This window comes from Homo sapiens, chromosome 12 (assembly GCF_000001405.40).
Source record: "Homo sapiens chromosome 12, GRCh38.p14 Primary Assembly".
Lineage (NCBI taxonomy): Eukaryota > Metazoa > Chordata > Mammalia > Primates > Hominidae > Homo > Homo sapiens.
Window position 1 is genome coordinate 39999770 of NC_000012.12, and position 24311 is coordinate 40024080.

At 37.4% G+C, this 24311-nt stretch overlaps 1 protein-coding gene across 8 annotated transcripts in view, besides 1 other annotated feature; it reads right to left on the reverse strand.

The window, feature by feature from the left end:
• The window catches only part of SLC2A13 (solute carrier family 2 member 13), a 351057-nt gene that overhangs the window by 244745 nt on the left and 82001 nt on the right, over positions 1–24311 (reverse strand). The window lies entirely within an intron of this gene.
• Positions 11537–11656: a silencer, noted in NCBI's record as "silent region_4349". NCBI's record gives its function as "represses an Ori minimal core promoter by ATAC-STARR-seq in GM12878 lymphoblastoid cells {active_cell/tissue: GM12878}" and the evidence as "EXISTENCE:reporter gene assay evidence [ECO:0000049][PMID:35858748]".

Here is a 24311-nt window from a genome sequence, read left to right on the forward strand (position 1 = left end):
CAGAAGCATGTGATCTTTGTTCTCCTTTTTGCCCTTTGAAGCATGTGATCTTTGTGAACTAATCCCTGTTCTTGTACACCCTCCCCTTTTGAAATCCTTAATAAAACTTGCTGGCTTTAAGGCTCAGGTGGGCATCACGGTCCTACCAATATGTGATGTCACCCCTGGAGGCCCAGCTGTAAAATTCCTCTCTTTGTACTCTTTCTCTTTATTTCTCAGCCAGCTGGCACTTATGGAAAATAGAAAGAACCTACACTGAAATATTGGGGCCTGTTTCTCCCGATAAATAAGTCTCATGAGATCTGACGGTTTTAAAAATGGGAGCTCCCCTGCACAAGCTCTCTTTGCCTGCTGCCATCCATGTAAGCCATGACTTACCCTCCTTGCCTTCTGCCATGATTGGGAGGCTTCCCCAGCTATGTGGTACTGTAAGTCTATTAAACATCTTTCTTTTGTAGATTGCCCAATCTCAGGTATGTCTTTATCAGCAGCATGAAAATGGACTAATAAACCATTAGCTCTACATTAAAAAACAACAACAACAGCAACAAAACCCAAAAACTTACAGGCTGTAACAGGCTATATAATCTGTGAACCTCTACCCTCTACTAAATTTAAACTGAAACTCAATTTACATTAAGGTCATCAGGTCTTTTAAGGTGCTTTTCACAGTCCTAATGACCGACACATACACCTGGTAGTGCCAAGCACCTGGGATCTCCATGTAATGGTTTGCCAGGGCTGCTATAGCAAAGTACCACAGACTGGGTGGCTTAAACAGAAATTTGCTTTCTCACAGTTCTAGAGGCTCAAAGTCCAAGATCATGGCATTGGCAGGTTTGGTTTTTCTGGAGGCCTCTCTCTCCTTGGCTTGCAGATAGCCACCTTCCCGCAGTATCCCGACATGTTCTTTCCTCTGTGTGTGCAAATCCCTGGTGCCTCTTCCTCTTCTTATAAGAATCGCAGTTATAGTGATTAGCGTTTACTCATATGACCTCATTTAACCTTAATCATCTCTAAAGGCTCTATCTCCAAATGTAGTCACATTATAAGGAACTGGGGGTTAGGACTTCAACATATGAATTTGTAGGGGACACAATTTATTACATGAAGCCCCACTCACTACTTAATCCCAGTGGAACAGTAAACACTAAAAAAGGCTAGCTGGCCGGCCAATGAGTGCCACACACAGGCTGCAATGCATTCCCCAATGTCCAAAAGCTCCAGGTCCTCACCAAGAGGAGAAATGATAAGAGAGGGCATGGACACTCAGGAGAAATTATTTTAGCATATGTAAACATCAACATGACCAAGCAAACAGGAGTCTCCTGACTCACACACTCAATGGATAAGCACTGGTATGTTTAGCTGTTTTCAGAAAGTTTCCTCAACTCTATCTGCTGATGTTAGCATTCACTCAAAGTGGGCCTTAACGACAACAAAAAACTGCATTGCCAAAATCCAAACTGGCAGCACATACTGGAGAGGGGAACACAAATAACAAGCCACCCTGTAATTTGTAAATTTTCTTTCAAAGTGAGCTATAAAAAAGACATTAAAGACACTTCTTGAATATTTCTGATATTGATTTGGAATAAAAAGTCAGGTGAATGGATGTATTTTCACTGTCTTAGCCTACATGCTGTTATCTTTTCTAAAAATTGCCTTACACCAAAAATAATATCTTTAATTTCCACAGTCTTCACCATTCTTAAATATTTTTTCATTTCACTCTCCCAATGACTCTGTGAGGTAGACAAGGCAGGAAAAGATAAAGAAAATGAAACTTGGTAGTTAAATGACTTGCCCAAGGTCACAGACTAAGAACTGAGGGAATCAGAATGAGAATGCAAGTCTTCTGACATCTAAGTCAGCACTCTTTATTCTTGGGACTTAATGACATTCAAGGCACTGAAACTATGATCTTGCAAAATTCACTTCACTTAGCACCACTGGGATGTAAAAGTCTATAAATAAAATTAAATGTGCATAATCACAAAGTGAATTTGTTCTGAATAAAAATAATTCTATTTCTTCAATAAATATGACATTTCTAAGTTATCAATCATCCCAATGAAAATTTTAGAAGCAGCATTTTCGTTGATAATTTATTTCACTAGGATAAATAACTGGGTAAACATAATAAAGTTTCAAAGCAAGAAAATCAATTTCCATAATTAATAATACAGAGCAAAATTTAACCTAGCAAATAGATGATTTTATTAAGTAGGTGATCTTACTGGTCTACCGCACACATTTTCACTAGGCTGTAAACATTTCTCCAACTAACAACTGAAATTAAGGAAAACAAATGAATCATTGGATGACTTTAAATAATCAGGTTTAAGAAAAACATGCTTATTGAAAACCAACTATCTAAACGTCAACTACAATAAAAAATTGTTGTATTGGGCACTTATTATGCGCCAGCCTAAGAACTTTGTGTGCACTGCCTCACTCAGTCCTCATAATTATCCTATAGTGGGTACTTTTTCATACTCATTTTACAAATGAAGAGACAATAGTGAAGTTAAGTAATGTATCCAACAACAACATTTAAAAAGTGGCAAAGTCCCAATTCACACCCAGCTCTGTTTGACTCCAAAGTCTGTATTACACATCTCTCTAATGCCTTGATCCCAAATACAAAGAATAATGAATGAATTGCCTATCACAACTGAAAACAGACTGAAAGATGGGCTCAGAAAGCAACAAAATAAATAAAATCTGTAAGCAATATGCACTATTAAACATGAAATGAATGAATGAGGTCATGGAATTTCCTCTAAAAGTCTTTTAAAAAGGAACAAATGATCTTCAATTCAAATTCTTTCATGCAGCAAAACTACTCAGCACATGTCATGAGCTAGGAACTCTCTTAGGTCCTTGAGACTCTGAGAATAATATGACACAATCCATCCCCGTGAAGGGTTCAAAGTCCACTGAGGAAGGTAAAGACACAGAGGAAGTTTTAAAAGGCATTAATATGGATGATGGCATAGGCTAAGGTTACAAAAATGCCTAGCATGTATGGGGCTCTGATTTCTAGGGTATGGCTGAGTATAGTGTATATTCCCCTAAAAAAAAAAAATGGGAGAAGGAACTTCATAAAGCTGCTTTTCACTCTCCTTGACAGCCAGTGACATAATGATATTTTGTTAGCCAAAAAAAGCAAACTAGGGGTTAATAATTTACATCCATGATTTGTACACTGGAAAGGAGCCCTCACGCTAGGCGTATTGGTCACTGGCTCAGTGCCCTGCTCTGTGCTCCACAACCACCCTCTCCCCTGGTGAATAATAATGCCATCATAATGGACTGGGACAGGGAGAGATGTTTGGGAACCACTCCTGTAAATATGGACATTTATACAGTTCACCCAACACAACTATGTAAATTAAAACAGTTATATAATCAGGAATAAAGTTAATTTTTTAAAAAGCAATACCTATTGAGAAGGAGTTTATGAATTATGCTAGCCTCAACTTCCACTTCAAAAAGAATAGTATATGAATTACCCTATTTAACAACTAGAATCTTAAATTTCAATGCATATCATTTTTAATGCAGTGCTAGCTTATTAAAATTATAACGATTATCTCCAAGGACCAAGGAAGAGGAGAGACAAAAACAACACTTAACCAAAAAGTGAGTGGGCGCTGATGGCAATAACAAAACTCAACCGTCAGAGGTGCCCCATAGACAAATATTTTTAAATGTTCTTGAATCTATAAATCTAAGCCTTGGATATGCTATATCGTGGGGTAGCTAAATCTGTTGGTTCCCTATCAACGTGTATTACTGAAGGGACTAATGACATGCCAGGCCCCTAATATGCCTTAACCCCTGTTCTATAAAAAAGCAAGTCATCTCCAAGGAGAAGAAACACTCAAGAGGTATCATCGTGGGTTTTTTTTTTCAATACATTTAGAAATGTATTGAATTTTTAATTTATTACAAAGTACCAGACATTTTTTCTCATTCTCTCATATAATACCACACACAAAAATTCTACAAAATGGGAGTATTATTCCCTTTCTGTAGATGAGGACACCGAAGCACAGAAAGTTTAAATTAGCTGGGCGTGGTGACGGGCGCCGGTAATCTCAGCTACTTGGGAGGCTGAGGAAGGAGAATCGCTAGAACCCAGGAGGCAGAGGTTGCAGTGAGCCGAGAGTGCGCCATTGCACTCCAGCCTGGGCAATGAGAGCAAAACTCCATCTCAAAAACAAAACAAAACAAAAAATTCCTCCCAAAAAACACAAAAAATAAAAATACAAAATACAAATTTAAAAAAAGATAGTATAACAACTATTTGCATAACATTTACACTGTATTCGGTTTTATAAGTAATCCAGAGATTATTTCAAGTATATGGGAAGATGTACATAGGTTATATGCAAATACTATACAATTTTATTTTATTTTATTTGAGATGGAGTTTCACTCTTGTTGCCCAGGCTGGAGTGCAATGGTGCAATCTCAGCTCACTGCAACCTCCATGTCCTGGCTTCAAGCAATTCCCCTGCCTCAACCTCCCAAGTAGCTGCGATTACAGGAATGTGCCACCATGCCTGGATAATTTTGTATTTTTAGTAGAGACAGGATTTCACCATGTTAGACAGGCTGGTCTCAAACTCCTGACCTCAGGTGATCCACCCACCTCAGCCTCCCAAAGTGCTGGTGTTACAGGCATGAGCCACCATACCCGGCCACTGTACCATTTTATATCAGAGACTTGAGCAATCACAGATTTTGGTATCTGAGGCGTATCCTGGAATCAAGCCCCCATGGATACCAAAAAATGACTGTAGCACAGACTGGGCAATGAGTAAAGGACAGATTTTTTTTTTTTTTTCACAGTTCTAGAGGCTAAAATGTCGAAGATCATGTTACTAGCCTCTGGTTTTCAAGATGGCACCTTAAACACTTTTGGCTCCCCAAAAGCTTAACTACGAATAGCCCACTGTTAACTGGGAGCCTTATCAATAACACAAACAGTTGATTAATATATATTTTTAAGTCATATGTACTATATACTGTATTCTTACAATAAAGTAAGCTAGAAAAAAGAAAAAGTTTTTAAGAAAATCATAAGAGAGAAAAATATATTTTCTATTCAATGAGTAGAAGAGGGATTATCGTACAGGTCTTTATCCTTATTGTCTTCACACTGAGTAGGATGAGGAAGAGGAGGCAGAGGAGGGGTTGGTCTTGCTGTGTCAGAGGTGGCGGGGGAAGAAAATCCACCTGTAAGTTCAAACCCATGTTGTTGGAGGGTCATCGGTACTGCCTAACCCTACCTTATCTGTAATCACTTACCAGCACTGCTGACAAAGACACATTTTTGCTAGAAACAAATTAGCAAGAGAAATTAGGGGTGAAAACATTAAACTTTTGAGATTTTTCAAAATTATTGAAGAGTTAAAGAAAAAGGGGCCTGTAGCTACAGTATGAAGAGACCTCTAAACTAATCTGTGTACTTTATACTTCACAGAATAGAGGAAGGGAAGAATGAAGTTCATTTGAAGTGTCCCCAGGTGAGCCACAACAAATCCCTCATCCAGAGGTACAACTACCCTTTAGTATTAGTGCAGGCATCTGGAGGCTCCTAGTAATGCTTAATGATAGCTTACAAAGGGTATGTGGGTGTGTATCTGGTGGGTAGTGGAGTATGGTGATCACTTAAACTAAAAGGAAGTTTAAGAGACCAACTCAGAAAGTAAGATCCTAAATCAGTGGTTCTCAAAGAGTGATACCTAAATCTGAAGTGGTTCTCAAAGGGCAGTCCAAAAAAGCAGCACTGGCATCACCTGAAACTTGCTAGAAATGCAAATTCTTAGGCCTCCCGTTAGACCTACTGATTCAGGGTTCTGTGCATGAAGCCCAGTAATCTATGTTTTAATAGGGTCTCTTGCCACTGATTCAGATGCATGCTAATTAGGAACCACTGCTCTAAAATCCACTAAGTGGCAGTGTGCCACCAAAAGGCTATACGATTTTATATCAGAGACTTGAGCAATCACAGATTTTGGTATCTGAGGGGTATCCTGGAATCAAGCCCCCGTGGATACCAAAGGCTATTTTAAGTCCGTGGTTCTCAACCTTGGCTGCATATGTGTATAATTAAGAAGCTTCCAACGTAAGGCCCTACCTCAGAGAATCTGATTTCACAGTTTTTGCTTCTTCCAATGATCAGCCAAGGTTGAGAATCACATTTCTAGATGATTTAATAATTTCAATCAAACAGGGTTAAAATTTGAAAAAGAAAAACAGTACATGAATGTTTTAAGTCTAAACATACTCAACTTCCCACCATATGAGTATAAATTAATAACCCCATACAGTCAGCTAATACTTAGGCAAAATACAAAATTGAAATTAATAACGCAGGATTAAAATGAAACCTAAATGTTTACAGGAGCTCACTGGGAAAACATAAGAATACAATATTATTTTTTTCCAAAAAGAAATTTTGAAATGTATAAGCTGTAACAGAGTGGCAAGAATACTTGACTTTGTATCTCAGGTATATCTGGGCAAGAGATTTGCCTCTGTCTTCTATCAGCTGTAACATTTTGGTTAATTTTATTTTTCTTTCCTTAGCCTCCACTTCTCCTCCAGAAAACAGTCAATAATATGAATCTCTATCAAAGAGATGTGGTAAGGATTAAACAAAACAAAGCATGTAAAGCATTTGCCACCATAACTGGCACATAGTTTATGTTCATTAAATGTAAGCTTATTAGTAAGAAAATTATGTTAAAATGAAAATATAGTAACAAAATAATGAATAAATTCTAAGAGTCAGGTAAAATTTCTTTCTAATAGTCTAAGCAAAGAAAAAGAGGTATTAAGACAATAACAGTAGTAAAGATTTAGGTGAAGGTCTCCATATCAGAAGTGCAGGAAGCAAGTACAGTTAGATATAAACATTGTACTCACTTCCCTTATCCTCCTATCAATGGAAGCAATCCCACCTGTTCACTCAAGTCTCTCTGGAGAAAAAGTGGTTTACAAGAATAAACCCATGTCTACAGTGTCGGCTAGACAGATCTCAAATACACATAACAAATTCATACTCTCTGCTGCCAAGATCATATTTTTAATTCCTTCATAAATTTAATCATTAATAATATAAAGAAATTCCCATTTGAGTATTTGTAATGCTAGCAGATGCACACTTACTTCTGATTCTTCCAGTTTCCAGCAATGGGTCACTAATCAGTTTATTTATTTATAAAGAAGATGAGCCACATCTTTTAATTAGCTAACAGTCATGTGTGTTCAACTTTCGTTTCTTTCTTTCTTACTAAAGTTGACCCAGTATAAGAATTTCTTGAAACTAATGAGCCCCTCCCACCTTTGCTCTGTGGCTGAGAGAAGTGCCCAATGTGAAGTGGGCACATAGATGCTGCGAGAAGGGAACTCATTCATAATTTTCTATTAGAAACAGTGATGGAATTGCAGAAACTTTTGTTTCCTTATACATTAGGTTATTTGTCATATTTTCTATAAAAAACTTGCATTACTTTTAAAGATTCAAAATTTTAAGCACACGGTCTAGTAAGTATATGAAAGAAGAATCAGTAAATAGTTCAAGAATAGTATAAATATTCTAAAACTTCATAAGTTCTTTTTTGCTATCCAAAAAAAAGCCACACAAAATTAATTGACTGTCCACCAAACTATTTTATTTACAATTGCTGCTGAAAACAACTTTAAAACTTTTTTTTAAAAAAAGGTCATTACTATTTTAAAATTAAGCATAATCCCAGAACTAGACTCACATAGTTTTTAAATGATGATGGAAAAGGGTATCCTTATATAGTACATTGAAGAGTGTATACTGTTCTAATAAGATAAGCTTTGTTTTGAATTCTTAGTTCTTCTATTTCCTAACAGGGTAAACTTGGGCAAGATTGTTAACTTCTCTATCAATTTTTACAACTATAAAATGATAATAGTTCACATTTTAGTTATTTGGCTTGCTGTAAGAATTAAAAGAAAAAAATATGGCACAATACCTCACACATAGAAGCCATTAAATATGAGTGGTAGCATAATTATTCAAAGGAAGAAACACTATTCAAAGAAGGAAGATATCGTTTACCAGCCTTAAAGATTCCATACATGGAAAAACGCCTTATCTATATTACTTTTATAATATACAATGGGTTTTACGGGAAAACCCAGATTTAAAATATAAGCACTTTCTACTTCTGAGGTAGAGTCTGAGGTAATTAAACAGCATCAAAAGATTCAACTAGTTTAAACCAACATATGTATAATTCTGAACTAATCAGCATCTCAAAACATTTAAGGATTTTTTTTAAAAAACCTATCCAGATTTTTTAAAATTTTAGACTAAATATAGTAACACACCTGCTAAAATGATTCCTTATAACAACATTCTCTTATCTGAAATTCTGTTAATAAAAGTAGAACAGAGAAGCCAAAAAGATTTTACTAAGGCATAAAAAGCAGCAGGGTGGTGGTGATGACAGGAAGCTCCAGGGTCAAGATACCAAATGTTAAGAGTATGGAGAAACAATTGGCTGGGCACAGTGGCTCATGCCTGTAATCCCAGCACTTTGGAAGGCCAAGGCAGGCGGATCATGAAGTCAACAGATCGAGACCATCCTGGCTAACATGATGAAACCCCGTCTCTACTGAAAATACAAAAACAACATTAGCCAGACATGGTGGTGGGCACCTGTAGTCCCAGCTACTCGAGAGGCTGAGGTGGGAGAATGGCTTGAACCCAGGAGGCGGAGCTCGCTGTGAGCAGAGGTTTCACCACTACACTCCAGCCTGGGCGACAGAGCGAGACTGCGTCACTCCAAAAAAAAAAAAAAAGAATATGGAGAAACAATTAAACTAATCCTTCATATTGTAAGATGATACCTGAGCTTTGATTTCTAAAAGGTTGTGATTCGATGACTTCCAGCCAATATACTTTGAAGCTTAGAAAGAAATTACCATGGAAACAAATGAACTAAAATAACACTATAACACCATGAGATAAATGGTTGTGCACAATTCTACTTCTAGATATCTACCCTAGAGAAACACACATACATGTGCTCAAGAAAACATATACAAGGATGTTCATTACAGCACTGTTTATGATACCCCCAAATGTAATGCCTATTAATAAAAGAACACATAAACAGAATGTGACATTCCATATCTGGAATATCACAGAGAAGTTTAAAGGGATGGACTAGATTTATATAAGATCTGACTCAAATCAACTCAACTTGAAAGAAAGCAAACAAGTAACTTAATAATACATGCATTATGATACTATTACCATAAAAATTCTCTAGGTGTGTTTGTGTGTGTGTGTCTGGAAGAATATTCCCCAAATCTGTTATGGCCAGCAGTGGAGCAGAGAGGTATAAAATGCGTGGGATCGATGTGATGGGCAAAGAGGAATTTAGCTTTATCTGTCCTGTTCTAACCCTCCAAAGGGAGGCTGAATTTATTTATTGTTAACTTAAACTAATTAAAGAAGAAAAATGCCTGAAATCTTTGATCATAAATGATGAAAACATTTTACTAGCCAAATAGAATGTTTATGGCTTTAAACTGTTAGATAATATCTATAATATTGTGACTATTAATAGGAAATAGAACATTAAGGTTTTTTTGTTTGTTTGTTTTTGTTTTTTGAGACTGGGTCTTATTCTGTCACCTAGGCTGGAGTACAGTGGCAATGGTCATGGCTCACTACAGCCTTGACTCCCTGGGCTCAAGCAATTGTCCCACTTCAGCCACCCGAGTATCTGGGGCTTCAGGCATGTGCCACCACACCCAGCCAATTTTTTAAAAAACTTTTACAGAGACAAGGTCTCACTATGTTGCCCAGGCTGGTCTTGAACTCCTGAGCTCAAGCAATCCTCGAGCTTTGGCCTCCCCAAAAGTGCTAGGATTACAGGCATGAGCCATCATGCCTGGCGACAGTTTCTTTTAACAAGCTCAAGATAAGAGGCCAGAACTCTGCTCTAAAGTCCAATGTAGAGACATGGGTCCTAAAACAAAATAATACTAAGTCAAAAGCCATCTGAAGAAGAGGCAGACTGACAATTAATGTCTCATTCATAATTTTCTATTAGAAACAGTGATGGAATTGCAGAAACTTTTGTTTCCTTATACATTAGGTTATTTGTCATATTTTCTATAAAAAACTTGAAATTATTTGACTACAATTCTGGTAATATTTATACTTCTTCAATTCTAAAAGAATGTGACGTGGTAAAAATCCCAGATGCCGCTAATCTATACAGGCACATGGCAACTCAAGAAAACATATGCACTGAAAAGGAAGCACAGTTCTTAAACATTTCAGTATTGAATCTGGCAAGAGACAGATCTTATGATGGTGTTTGTGGAGTCAGAAATCAAATGAATATCTTCTTAACATATAAGGTAGTGTTAAATAAGGAACATTATTCAGAGACATCACTGAGCTGAGAGTTGTTTGGATCTGCAAGTGAGAAAAGTAGAATATTTGATATTTTTCCCACTGGAAAATAAAGGTAATAGACGCCCTGTTGTCTGAAATATTGATTATTAGGGAAAGTCAGCTGAGGTTACATTTATAAATAATTTTATCACCCTAAAATATATAAATGCCATTCATTCTTCCATCTTGTGATGTAGGTAAGGCTTTTTTTTTCTGAGCCTGGATCAGCTGACTAAAGCATTGTTTTTCTTGCAAAAACCACAGAAAAAAATGTATTGTCTACAATCTCCATAAATAATACTGAAAACTTAAGACAGTTAAGCAAATTCAATATAGAATCCATCTAATTTTAATGATTTTTTCACAAACCTTTTAAAACCATCTTGCCCACACTTTGAGAGCAGTTTTCTTTAATGACATCTTTATTGAATCTTTCCAAAACATTCAACTTAGGTTTTCACTGAAATTGCTCTCCTTTTTTTATATTTTTCTTTCTTTAAATTTCTGTAATAGTTGATTCTACTGCCTAATTACAGCAACCAGCACAATGGCATAAACAGATTTAGAAACAAACCTAAATGACTTGGTAAACAGCCCAACAGACCGCATCACAAGTGCCAGGGCGTCCTGGAAAGTCATCTGCCAGCTGTGAGTGTGTTGTGTTTTAGAGGTTTTAAGAGTCTGGGGCCCACCAGTTGGTTTGGTAAGTGTGAGATGTAGAGGCCCTAAGAAGAGCATCTGTGTAGTGTATCTCGTGCAAATGTTAAGTTACACTTCCTACTCACCAGCTTCGTTCTTCAGTCTTCATGTGGTAAAAAATACAACAACCTACGATCCAGGCTACAGCCAGAGGCTCAACTAACTTTTGAGTAACCTCCCACGCCCGGTACCAAGAGTTGGAGACACAAATAATAACGGTAGGCAGGGTTTATCAACATCACCTGTGTTGAGTGTTGACTTTTTGGGCCAAAAAGTTCTATGTTGCAGGGGCTGTTCTGTGTATTTGTAGCATTAAACATCCTACTACCCACTAGATGTCAACATCACATTCCCTGAGCTGTGACAATCAAAAATGCCTCCAGACATTGCTAAATGCCCACTAGGGGGCAAAATTCCTCCTGACTGAGAACAAGTGAGGGTGGATCAGGAGCTTTCAGTTTCTAATAAACTTTCTTGGGTCCTTCCCTTTGTTGGGACTCACAGAATTTCATACTCTTAGATCTATCAAGAATCTTTTCCTTCAAGTTTTATTTTAGATTCAGGGGATACATGTGCAGGTTTGTTACACAGATATATTGTGTGATGCTAAGGTTTGATCCTTAACATCATAAACATGCATAAATGATCCTGTCACCCAAATAGTGAGCACAGGACCCAATAGGTCGTTTTTCAACCCTTTCCTTCCTCCCTCCCCGTCTCCTCCCTCTAGTAGTCCTCGGCGTCTACTGTTCCCATCTTTATGTCCATGTATACCCGATGCCTAGCTCCAGAATCTTTTGGTTGCCTTCTCTGAAATTCAGAGAAGTAAGCTGTGAACAGCCAGTTGTGGTTGCCTAATTTGTAGGGCTGAGGGCAAAATGAAAATGTGAGTCCCGTGCTCAAAAATTACAACTCTGAAGACAGTGACAGAAGAGGATTAAACCAAGGGCAGGACCCTTCTGAGTGCAGGGCTCTGGGCAGCTGCAGAGGTCGCGTGTCCATGAAGCCAGCCCTGCAATAGCCACCTAGTGATAGGCAGAGCAGGAGTTACAACCTGGGATTCCTGTCACTCTTTCCACTAAACTGACAGTCACATAAAGATCTGCTGCATCTCAATAAGCCAAGAGGTATTAATAGTTCAACTTCCTAATTTTTACTACAGTTTTTGCTAATATTCCTTATACTTAGCAAGAAATATTGTACATAATAGTGAATTAGTTTCTCATCTCAACTTTTTGAAATCAAATTTATCAACAGAAACCTACTAAATTAGATTGACAGTTCCAATTATAGAACTACAAAATCATTTGTGTTTTATTGGAAACAACCATGAGGAGTTTATTATATTTTATTAGTAGCATCTGTCTCCTGTCTTTGAATGCTAGAGAAGATATTAATGATGTTCTTTTGCCATTTGGAAACAGATACTCTTTTCTCAAAAATTATCTTTGGCACTGGATTAATTCTCTAATTTATTCTTGTCATTTGGCAAGCGTCTTCACTCCAGGTGTAGAAACTGGAAGTGTTTCCAGAAAGATCAAGGGAGATATACAATTTATTACAGAAGGTCAGAATGTGTGTTGCTTAAAGATGTGATGTGATATTTTTCTATCGCATGGATGTGACCATGATGAACCTAAATTCTAGCTTAATATCATCAGTCTGGTCTTACCTGCTAAAGATCACCAGGACATACATGCTTCTACCTTTTACTGCTCTGCCTTTTTCTTTTTCAACATTCTTCCAAATGTAAATCAGCAAAGCAATAACTGTCACAGATAACACTGCTTCCAAAACACAAGTAGTGGGTTATTATATTGGTTCAGTAATGTTCAAAACAGCATATCGCAAACTTCCCAACAAATGTCTGGAATCCAATTTTATGGTCCCAGAAAGGAAAGTGACACAGGAAATCACACTCCAGCACTCAGAGATAGCAGGCCTCCGGGACTGAATGACAATGCTGTAAGAAATTTTCGCTAGGGAATGTTTGACAGGAGATGCCACTTCTAACTCTGTGCTTTCAGTTTCTAAGTTCAAGTGAGTTGGTAAGAAAAATCCTGCTAAAGACATTTATATGATCTTCAGACATAAGGAGACAGTAAAGGAATATGCAGTAGCAGCTACAGTAAAAATGTTTTTAGTTTCTATAGTCAAAAGATACATGCAGAGGATGGCTTCCAAAACCAAGTGCAAAAAGGGTATAGTCAAATCATCAAGTGGTCTTACAAAATGATTTAAAAAAAAAAAACCTGAGTAATATAAACTATTTTCTACAAAGGCTAAGTGAGGTCAAAAATTTACAATACAGTGAGAAAGGGATGGATTATGCTCTTAAGAGCAGGGGATCTTGTTACCACCCTCTTTTCATGTCTAAAAATATTATTGAATGAATACTTTTACAGAGCTTATAATGTGCCAGGCACTGTTCTCACAGCCTTACATATTAAATCATCCAATCTTTAAAATATAATTATCTGAGACAGGTATTACAACTATCTCCATGCTACAGAAGAGGAAACAAGCACAGAGAGGTCAACTAAGTTGCCTAAAGTTGCACAGCTGCAATTTAAACCCAGGCAATTAGTTTCTAGATATTAAGTAACACCCAACGGCACATAGCCTTGGACAACTCAAATCTGTCTTTCTGAAAAGCTGAGCCCACTATATGACACAAGAACCACTATCTAAATCTACAATGGTAAGCCACTCAGACACTATATATATTTTGTATAATGAAAATCATTACAATTTCCTTTGGAGCTTATTTCACTAATGTACAAAAGATGAGAAATCCACTTTTAATGAGCTCTTACGTGTGCGGCCCTACGCAGGCACTGTATTTCCCTCATCCCATTCACTTCTCACCAGGATGTGGAACAACCTTCAGCACCTGATTTTACAGAGGAAGAGACTAAATACTTGGGGGGAAAAGTTGAATCACTTGCCCAATTGTGTAACTGATGAGACTCATACTAAAACGAAGCCACATAATTTCAAGAGAAATAAGGAGGAAATGCCTTCATATATATGTATATGTTATTTGTATTTGGAACATATCTATACTCAAACATTATATAGCATCAACTTCTTGCTTCCTTATTTGAGTACCTGATCTTATCTAGTACATTATAAAAGTTCCTGGAGACAAAAGCCTTTGTTTATAAAAACTTTGTACACCACATTACTTTTAGTATAATAATGCGCAAGTAGTAAAAGCCCCAGAAACATGTGTCAAATAATGGATGAATATGTATTTCTGGCCCAGAGGTAAACAAAACTCACCCAACTAATGTACAACTGTATGCTAATTAAGTCAATTAAGTACAAAGTACAAAACTCTAACATTTGTGGAGATCTCTAGCTTCCACTGATTTACCTCAGAAGGAAACTATCCCTTTTGTAAAAGAGGAAGGTTTTCCAACTCATAGCAGATTGGTACACTGAGACCCCAAATTGAGAGAAAATTCACCTAAGAATTCCATAAAAAGATTCCACTTGAATACTTCAAAATTAAGTGTTGGACTAGTCCAGATTATAAAAGATATTCATTTTTTTTTCTTTTTTTTGAGACAGAGTTTTACTCTTGTTGCCCAGGCTGGAGTGCCATGGCATGATCTCGGCTCACTGCAACCTCCACCTCCCAGGTTCAAGCAATTCTCCTGCCTCAGCCTCCCAAGCAGCTGGGATTACAGGCATATGCCACCATGCCCAGCTGATTTTTTTGTATTTTTAGTCAAGACGGGGTTTCTTTATGTTGGTCAGGCTGGTCTTAAACTCCCAAGCTCAGTGATCCATCCACCTCAGCCTGCCGAAGTACTGGGATTACAGGCGTGAGCCACCACGCCAGCCAAAAGATATTCTTGAATTATCACCTTCATATTCAAAATAAGATTTCTATCGTAATGCTATATTAGATCCAGCCAATTTTTATTTGAGATTATTATAGAAAACAAATGTTTTATGCAAATGACTACACTTTGGGAAAAATAATTTTCTAAGACCGCTGAATTAAGTAATATGTAAAAACTCCAAGACTAAATTAAATATACATCTTGTAGGTACGTCTCTATTCCTGCTGGTATAATTTTACAAGTAATGAAGTATGTGAAAGAATTTTTAAAGGGTCTATTTCTCACATTATATATGACTAGTTAATAACTATAATTTATTCTTATCTGAGTACTTAAGACTATCAGAACAATAACCTTCACTGGCCCATTTAAGAAGAAAAAAAAAAAATTCCAAGGAATTCAACATGGGTTTGAATTCTGAATTGGCCACTTAGTAGCCAAGGAGACCTATGCAATTTATATTCGTGGCCTTTCTTTTTTCTTAATAACAGAGGTGATTCTGATGTTGAAAAAGCACCTTTCTAAAAGTTGTTCAACATAGTTTTGTTGTAAAATACTGCTGAACCTAATGGAATTCCTTATCAGAACAAGCCTCTGACATCAAGATCCTGTTAATAATTAGGTCTCTGGCCAGTTTACCTGAGTAGCTTACTAATTCACTTGGCAGGTAGAGCTTCTCAGCACAAATTTTCCTTTTGAATAAAACTAAAGGCAAATGTATGTCTGGGTTTCCTTTCTGGAAATGTACTACCACTTCCTCCAGTCTCAGAGGGCACCTCATCAAAAGGGCCATGACTCACCTTTCTAACCCCAGGCTTCCAACACTCTCCCTCCTCCACTGCACTTGATCTTTCCCCATCACACTCATTGCTTCTTGGTGTGTTATATATTCCTTTATTGTCTGTGTTCCTTCATCAGCATGTATATCCACGAAAGCAGACGTTTTGCTGTTGTCCAGCAAAATATAAAGGCAGATGGGTTGGAATTCTGAATTTAGCCACTTAGTAGCCAAGGAGATCTATGCAGTTTACTTGAGGTTTTTCTCATCTCTAAAAGAGTATAATATAATAATGATGATAATAATAACGATTTCACACTGGATTGTTGTAGCATTAAAAGATATAATAATACCATGTGAAGTGCCACGCACAGTACATGACACATCGTAAATATTCAAAAAAAGAATAATGCTCTTTTATTAGTTTTCAAAAAAACTGCTAACAGATAAAATCAGAAAAGTCACATGATTGCTCTTCAAACTTTGCTCTTTAACAGTAATAAAACTTTAAATTATATTATTCCTCTTTGCTGCCACAAATGTCACCTGCATGGTTATGCAGCTACAGCCATGATTCCATGTAAGAATAAAGAACTTATAATTTGAAAACATACTACACCACCCCCCCAAAAAAAAACTACTCTTGAAATCTGAATATCCACAGGACCATTATTAAGCTTAAGACAGAAAAATCTACAGAATTATTACATAAATGATGCCACCTGTGTTTTCAGTAATTCTTGTGAAATGAACAGAAACCCTGATAAGCTGTTTCAGAAAGTAAAATTAAAATATTTTTCACAGAACATTTTTGAGAACCATGAGTTTCCAATTACTTCTCAAAGTGGGTGTATATAAATATAAACTAGCTAATGAGAGTAGCAGAAACAAAACAAACACCAAATTTCACATCTAAGATTCTGACTACAATTCTATGGTCAAGATAATCATTTGTCTTAAAAGTGCTGAAGCCACTGTAGTCATAGCTAGTGAAAATATATTTGAATTTCATAGGCTCACCTTTCATAGTAGAGAGAAATTCCATCACATCTTGAAGTGTACATACCTATAATAAGGGCCTAGTCTGAATTATAATCTATTGTCTAGAGTTATAAATAAAAATTGGCTCATTAATTAGTAAGGGGTATTTCCTAAATTCAGACAGTAACAAGGATCTCCTTCAAAATTAATTCTAAGATAATAAATCACATGAGATTTTATAACTTTCATATTTGAAATTTCATTGTACTTATAAATACTTGATGTCAAAAAATAAGTTTTTTCGATGGGCCCAACATGTTAGCAACTAGAAGAAAATACTAATAACTCCTAATATACACATAAATTCCAAACTGTTTTGCTAAAAGTCCACAACGAGTTTCTAAACATATACATCTGCCTTTGTAAATAGAGACATTCAACAAATAGTCATTGTGCACTGACTTATGTCTTCTCCTCACCAACCACACCTCCCCAGGGTCTCATGATGACTAAGTAGGACAGAGGGAAGGAGTCTACACACTGTAAGAGCTCCATTTCCTCCTCCAAATCTCAGGAGTCAAAGATCAGACATCACCATCCACTCCTCTCACGTAAACAGAAAGTCAAAGAAACATTTATGAAGTGCCTTGCTAACGTCAGGCAATGACTGTATCTGGCAATGAGGATACAAAGATAAGTAAGGCTAAGTTGCTAGTGGAAGCAAATCTAATGCTGACTGCTCCAGAGACATATCACAAAGGTTTCCAGGGAGTCGAGAGAAGGAAGGCACTCTGCCCTCTCATATTCCAATATAAGATTACTTCCAACCTTCCTTCTGACTCCTTTGTTTACCTGCTGTATAAAATCCCAGAATTTCTCCCTCTTCTTTAAGGATTTCCTCATTAATACATCTTCTCTCTATTGCAAGAGCCTGAATAAAACCATCTCCTTAATTGTTTGGTGCATTTTAACATTCACAAAAGGTATCATCTTGCTTTGACTGCAATTCAAGGCAAGGGAGCTAAGATTTCTGTTGGTGCATCAAGCCATTTTGATAGTACAGCTGGCTCCAGTCTCAGATGATGACAGACTCAACTCTCACCATAGAAACCTGGCCTCTTTTGGTGCCCCATTAGATCAAATGTGACATCATGTGCTGAGATGGACCTGTGGGGCTGTGACATATGCAGAAGTGACTGTGGCTGGGCCTTGAAGAAGCAATGTGCTCTGAGCAGTGGTCTCATAAAAGTCTGTTGCTGCAATTATACAGAGGCTTCCCTGCAATACTTCTTTAGAGGTTCCTCTGTGACTACACACCCTGTGCACACTTACACGTGGACACAAACATTGACAACTTTACCTTCTGCACAGAAGCCAAACCCACTAGGAATTACCACACTGAAGTGGCTTCAATGCACATATTTAAAAAAAAAAAAAAAAAGAAAGAAAGAAAAAAGAAAGGAAAGAACGTGAATAGCATCCTCAAATTAGTCCAAAGAATAAAAACTGAGGAAACTGATAAAAACAGACATACTTAATGGTTAAAGAAGGAATCAGCAACCTATAGCTCATGGGCCAAATCTGGCCGGCTTTCTGTTTTTATAAATAATAAAACATAACAAGCACAAAATAATAAGCTTCACACTTTACTGGAAGAAATCCACACTCCTTTTTAAAATACATTTTCTATGGTTGTACTGTAACAGCAGAGACAAGTAGTTACAGTGAAGACCACTGGCCAAAAAGCCAAGTATTACTATCTGGCCCTTTACAGAAAAAGTTTGACAACCCCTAGGATAATGCATCAAAATTAATACCTAACCCTCAACACAGAGAACAGCCTCCAAATGCTTATATTCAAAGTATAATTAAAAGATCACCATTCTACTTTCTCAATAGTTCTTTCTTGTGGATGAAATACGATTTTTCCTAATTTGTAGACTTTCTATTCTTGTGTAACACAATTAAAATAATACCAGCATCTATTGGACTAAGCAGGAAGAAATGCTTAAGCACTTTTAGTTCAGCCTTTTTGTCAACCGAACAATAAATTGTCTTAAATTTTGCTAATGGAGACTAATATCAAAAGGCCTTCTTTGCCCAGAGAAAACTCCTAATATGTTACTGCTTTTCAAATTTAATATAATTCTTTTTGCGAGACAATAATTGCATCTTCTTTGCAGGGTTCACTGATTGGGGTAAACAGGGAAGGTCAGGGGATGTGAACAATCTCAGGGTGTCTCCAGGCTCCACCTTACCTCCTCAGATCCCACCCACACCATTTTCTCCTCACCCTGAGAGTCAGAAGGCACTTAGTAATGTTGAGTGCTTCTTGCTTGCTCTCTTGGTATGATGATGGAGTCTGGGCACTACTGAAATAAACCTGGAAAGATACATTCAAACAAGATTGTAAAGGAAGTTTAATAATAAGTTAAGGAACATGTTTCTGAAGAGGAGAGGGACATGATCCTGTCTGTGTGTTGCAATGATAATTTTGGAGGCCATGGGGAAAGGATGGAGAGGGAAGATACTAGAAACAAGGACAGTTGACACTGTTACTCTGGCAGAGAGAATAAGCACCAGAGACCTCACCCAGGCAATGGCAGCAAGAACCGAGAAGAGAAGAGAGATTGGGAATACAGGCTCAAGGTGGAAGCAACTGAACTATTTTGCCAACTGATTTTGAAGTTCATTGGCTTTTTCACATTTTTTATAGTTGTTTGAATGCTTTCCTTTCAGAAAAGGATATTCTTAAGGACATTTGATTGTTAGGTTCTAAGCTCTTTAAGAGCAAGGACAATGCCTAATTTTTTTTTTTTTCCTAATATTTACATCCAAACTGCATGGCACAGATGTGGCATGAGATGCAGTCTGCAGAGCAGAACAGGGAGAAGCTGGAGTGGTAGCAGCTGGGGCCCAGATCCCGCCTCCTTCACTTCCTAGCTGTTTGCCCTTGCCAGCACTCCATTTTCCCAGTACAACGTGGATTATAATGTCTGTTTTAGGATTGTTTTAAGAATGAGAGTGAAAAGAGAAAGGGAGAATGTGTTTCTATAGATGTGCTTGTAACATTTATAGAAATGGGCATTCAGGAAAAAGAAATTGTTACTAGTATTTTCACACTAGTTGCCCCTCCCCTTTAGGAAAGAACAGTTACTGGGCTCAGTTTTCTTAAAAAATTATCTTGAAGGTTTATTTTATTCTAAGAGATGTGCAGTGGGAATCATTTTCAAGGAAGTACCTTGAAAAATCCAGGGGAAAAACTGTACTGAAAAACGTGAGACACTTACACAGCAACTGATTATAGTTCCGGCTTCATAAACCTAATAATTTTCTCCTCACTGTATCCTGCCAAGGACACACCTCCTTATTGAAGGCTCAACGTTTCAAGAAATAATAGGTGTTAATAAGTGAGTTAACTGAAATGTGCATCTAAAGCAAGGTATTCAGTAAGATACTGATTAAAAATACTGCTTAGTACCAGAGGGTTTAGAGGGCCTCAGGTAAGAGGAGAAAATTAATGGCATTTGACCACTGTAGCTCCCCAATACAAATCCAATTTAAAATATGAGGGAAAAAATAAGGTTTCTTTGATTTTTTAAGAAACTCTGAGAAGATCTCTGCTGACATTTGAGAATAGGCAGGTTTCTTCAGATAGTATATGACATGGTGATGTGGTTTGGCTCTGTGTCTCCACCCAAATTTCACGTTGAGTTGTAAACCCCAGGTGTCAAGGAAGGGACCTGGTGAGAGGTGATCAGATCATGGAGGCAGTTCCCTCAGGCTGTTCTCATGATAGTGAGTGAGTTCTCACGAGCTCTGACGGTTTAAAACTGTGTGACTTTCTTCACTCTCTCTCCTGCGGCCATGTGAGACGTGCCTTTCTTCCCCTTCACCTTCCACTATGATTCTGAATTTCCTGAGGCCTTCCCAGCCATGCAGAATTGTGAGTCAATTAAACCTCTTGTCTTTATAAATTACCCAGTCTTGAGTAGTTATCACAGTGTGAAAATAGACTAATACACATGGCCATTGATATTCTGATTCTACAGACTATCCATGGAATTGTCTTGTTAAACTAAAATGTCCCAACACTAAAGAATGGCTCCTGTGCCTTCCCCTTTGAGGTGGGAAAAAAAAAAGGGTTTTCTTCAGGACCTTCTGGTAACCTTCTACAAAGATCAGGTAACCTTTAAAGGGCATAGCAATTTGTCGTATCTTGAAGAAAAAATGTCTCCAAATCATGGTTTTATTTACGAAGCAGACTATCACCTATACTGAATGATGGATTTCAAGTTAAGTTGGAAGTGAGCTACCCTGAGCAGCAACTCATGAATTACATTCATTTTCAAATGTCTACCTTGTGGGTTTTTTTTTTTTCATTCCATTTAATCGTATTAAATACAGAGCAGTAAAATATAGTATGAACCTAACGGTAAGTGGGAAAAAAGAGATCTTTGACAAAGTCACAATTCTTTCTGCATGGATCTTCTTTTATGAGATATGGATTTAAGTACATCTTAGCAAGAAAACAAAAATATAAAGCTTTGAAGTATTACCTATCTACTTACTAAGACAATCTGGATTCTCAGTATAAATCAAGGAAAATGACTTAAAAGCCTACAAGTAATCTGAAAAATGTTTTCTTCTCCCGTGAGTATGCTCAGTGGAAAATCTCTGTGCTGTTCTTTATCCCCATATAACAACAGAACAGTCAATGACATTTTAATGTAAAATCCAAGAATGATTCCAATTCTGCATAAGATTTTAAAAGTTGTCTGGGGTTTAGAAAATCGACGACAACCTTTATTTAAAGCCATATTGAATGAAATAGTGTTTCTTTTAAGTAAGTCAGCATGCCTAAGAAAATAAGTTTTACTAAAAACTGAACAGAGTTGTGTATTGTTTTAATAGTCCTTCAGCTTACAGCTTAACATAAGGATTGAGAATTAAAGTAGCTTTTTATCTGACCTTTTGTTTTAATCTACTGTTTACCAGCCTAATACTTTGACAATTTTTGGAATTTTACAACCACCTCTAGAATATTGGATATAGAAATGTTTTCTTTGCCAATATTTAGAAAATTGCAGGTCATCTTACCAAGAACAATTTATCAATATCTATTTAAAGTTCACCTAGTAAATGACATCCATGCATTGTTTTGGGTCAGATAACACTGTAGTACTACCACATGAAAAAAATAAAAGCAAACTACCAAATATATTAGAGAGAATGACTATTTTCCTCTAAGTGCAGCAGATGTCAATTGCAACGAGTATTTGACTGCAGTGTCATTATGCTGAAATTGGATTTCTAAAGAAACATACAGAAGAATTTCTATCAAAATACGATAAATATTTACCCCCTCTGACCTCTCTGCAGAATATGATTTGCTGAAAGGGCCACAGTCAATATCAATTCACAAAAAAAGAAAATGACTTACGAAGGTAGGTAAGACTTCATGACCAAATTGCAAAATTACTAGAGGAAAAAAAAAAGAGATGCAGCTGTCCCTTCCTATACATGACAGACATGACCCCCAAGGAACTGGAGGTAAATCAAATCATGTTTTAAAATGAACTCACAGGAAGCTCCTGAATAAGTTCTCTTCCCTACAATACTCTTGCTTTCCAGGCTAGAGATCAAACTCTTTGTCAAAGGCAAAGCCAACGTTCACCCAGATTCCTAAACTCATTTGTTGATAAAATTAAATAATGGAAATCTTGCTGGCTTGCATATTTTCACATAGATTACATATCACACAGGTAACCTAAATGCCCTACTACAGTGACTAGCAACTAGTGGGCCTGCATCTAATTCCAATCTGAAACATTAGCTAGTGCCTCTGGGTTGCTACTTCTCCTATATGATTAAATGTTGAGATTTTACTGACCAAAGGGTAGGGCCAATATTCTGGCTGGCATTCTTCTGTTTAATAAGTCCATTCTGAAAGTACATGATCTAGATGATCTAGGTAATATTAACTGTAAAACAATTTTTAAGGCCGGGTGTTGTGGCTCATGCCTGTAATCTTAGCACTTTGGGAGGCCAAGGCAGGTGGATCACTTGAGGTCAGGAGTTCAAGGCCAGCCTGGCCAACGCGGTGAAACCCCGTCTCTACTAGACATACAAAAAATTAGCTGGGCGTAGTGGTGCATGCCTGTAGTCCCAGCTACTGGGGAGGCTGAGGCAGGGGAATCACTTGAACCCAGGAGGCAGAGGTTGCAAAGAGCCAAAATTGTGCCACTGCACTCCAGCCTGCATGACAGTACAAGACTGTCTCAAAAAAAAAAAAAAGTTTTAATATGTAATTTTTTAACATGGAATTCACCCCTCCCCCCCCAAAAAAAGCCATTTTCTTTTAGGGGAAAAAAAGCCCATGACCATTTTTAAGTTCCTTGGATTGAACCCATGCTATAAATAGATTTATAAAAGGCTGCTCTTTACTGCCCTAAGGCATGCAGTCAGTGTCTCCCTTGCCTGCCTTCCTTTACTCAATCTGTCATTGCACTGATGCTGTCCTAATAACCTCATTCTCCCTAAACATACTGCTTTTTAATTTCCCTAGCTTCCCTAGCTTTTTGCAGTGGTTCTAACACCACCATCTGTATGTTTCTCTAGAGAAAGCTTTTGTTGTTCATGCTTTTGTTGTTCATGCTTTCCTTCCAATGATCCTGCCTTAGCACAATGATCCTGCCTTAAGCATCCAATGATCCTGCCTTAGCACGCCCACTTCAGAGTGGAGAGGAGGATGACAGAGATGGTGCCTTATCTAAGACCTCCCAGAAACTGTGCTTGAGGGGCTCCTGCAGCGGGGCCAGGGGGCTTCTTCTGACAAGTCATGGCAGCAACAGCCTTTGCTTTCCTTTCATCTCCTCTCAGGGTACACTTGTTCGCTGGTACAGGATAAGAAACTAAAGAAGTCAAATAAGTGCTATCAAACAAGGTTATATAAAGCACATGAAAACACACCTCTCATTTCTGGATTGTTCCCTAAGACTGCCTTCAGAAGAATCCTGTCTCTTCTGTTGGTTGATTTTACTTCCTTTGTCATGAGAGACAATTTTTAACTTTCAGGAACTAAAGCTCCTAACAAAGACTCTATGCCTTCTATATGCCCAGTAATCCAAGAAATGACTTCTCATCTCTAGTGACATGGACAGACCCTACTTTTAATATCATCTCTAATGAATTTGCCCAGGAGAGAAACTCCAAACTCTTTCAGGACATGTCTGTCAAACTGAGGGATACATATCCCAGGGATATAAATGACAGAGTGATGGGTTCCATGAAGCCAATGAATGAAAACTGGAACTATTTAGGAAAAAAACGGTTTACAGTCAAGTAAAACAGTTATATTATAGAACAGAATGCAAACTTTGGTTAATTTCTAGGATAAAGCAGAAAAATTCAAATATATTTGAGCTTACCACAGCTGCTTCCTGTTATAATAACCAGGCCCCAAAGGGCCTGCCTCTCTTCACTCAACTTTGAAGCTAAGCAGAAAAGTTTGCCAATCATTGCTTAA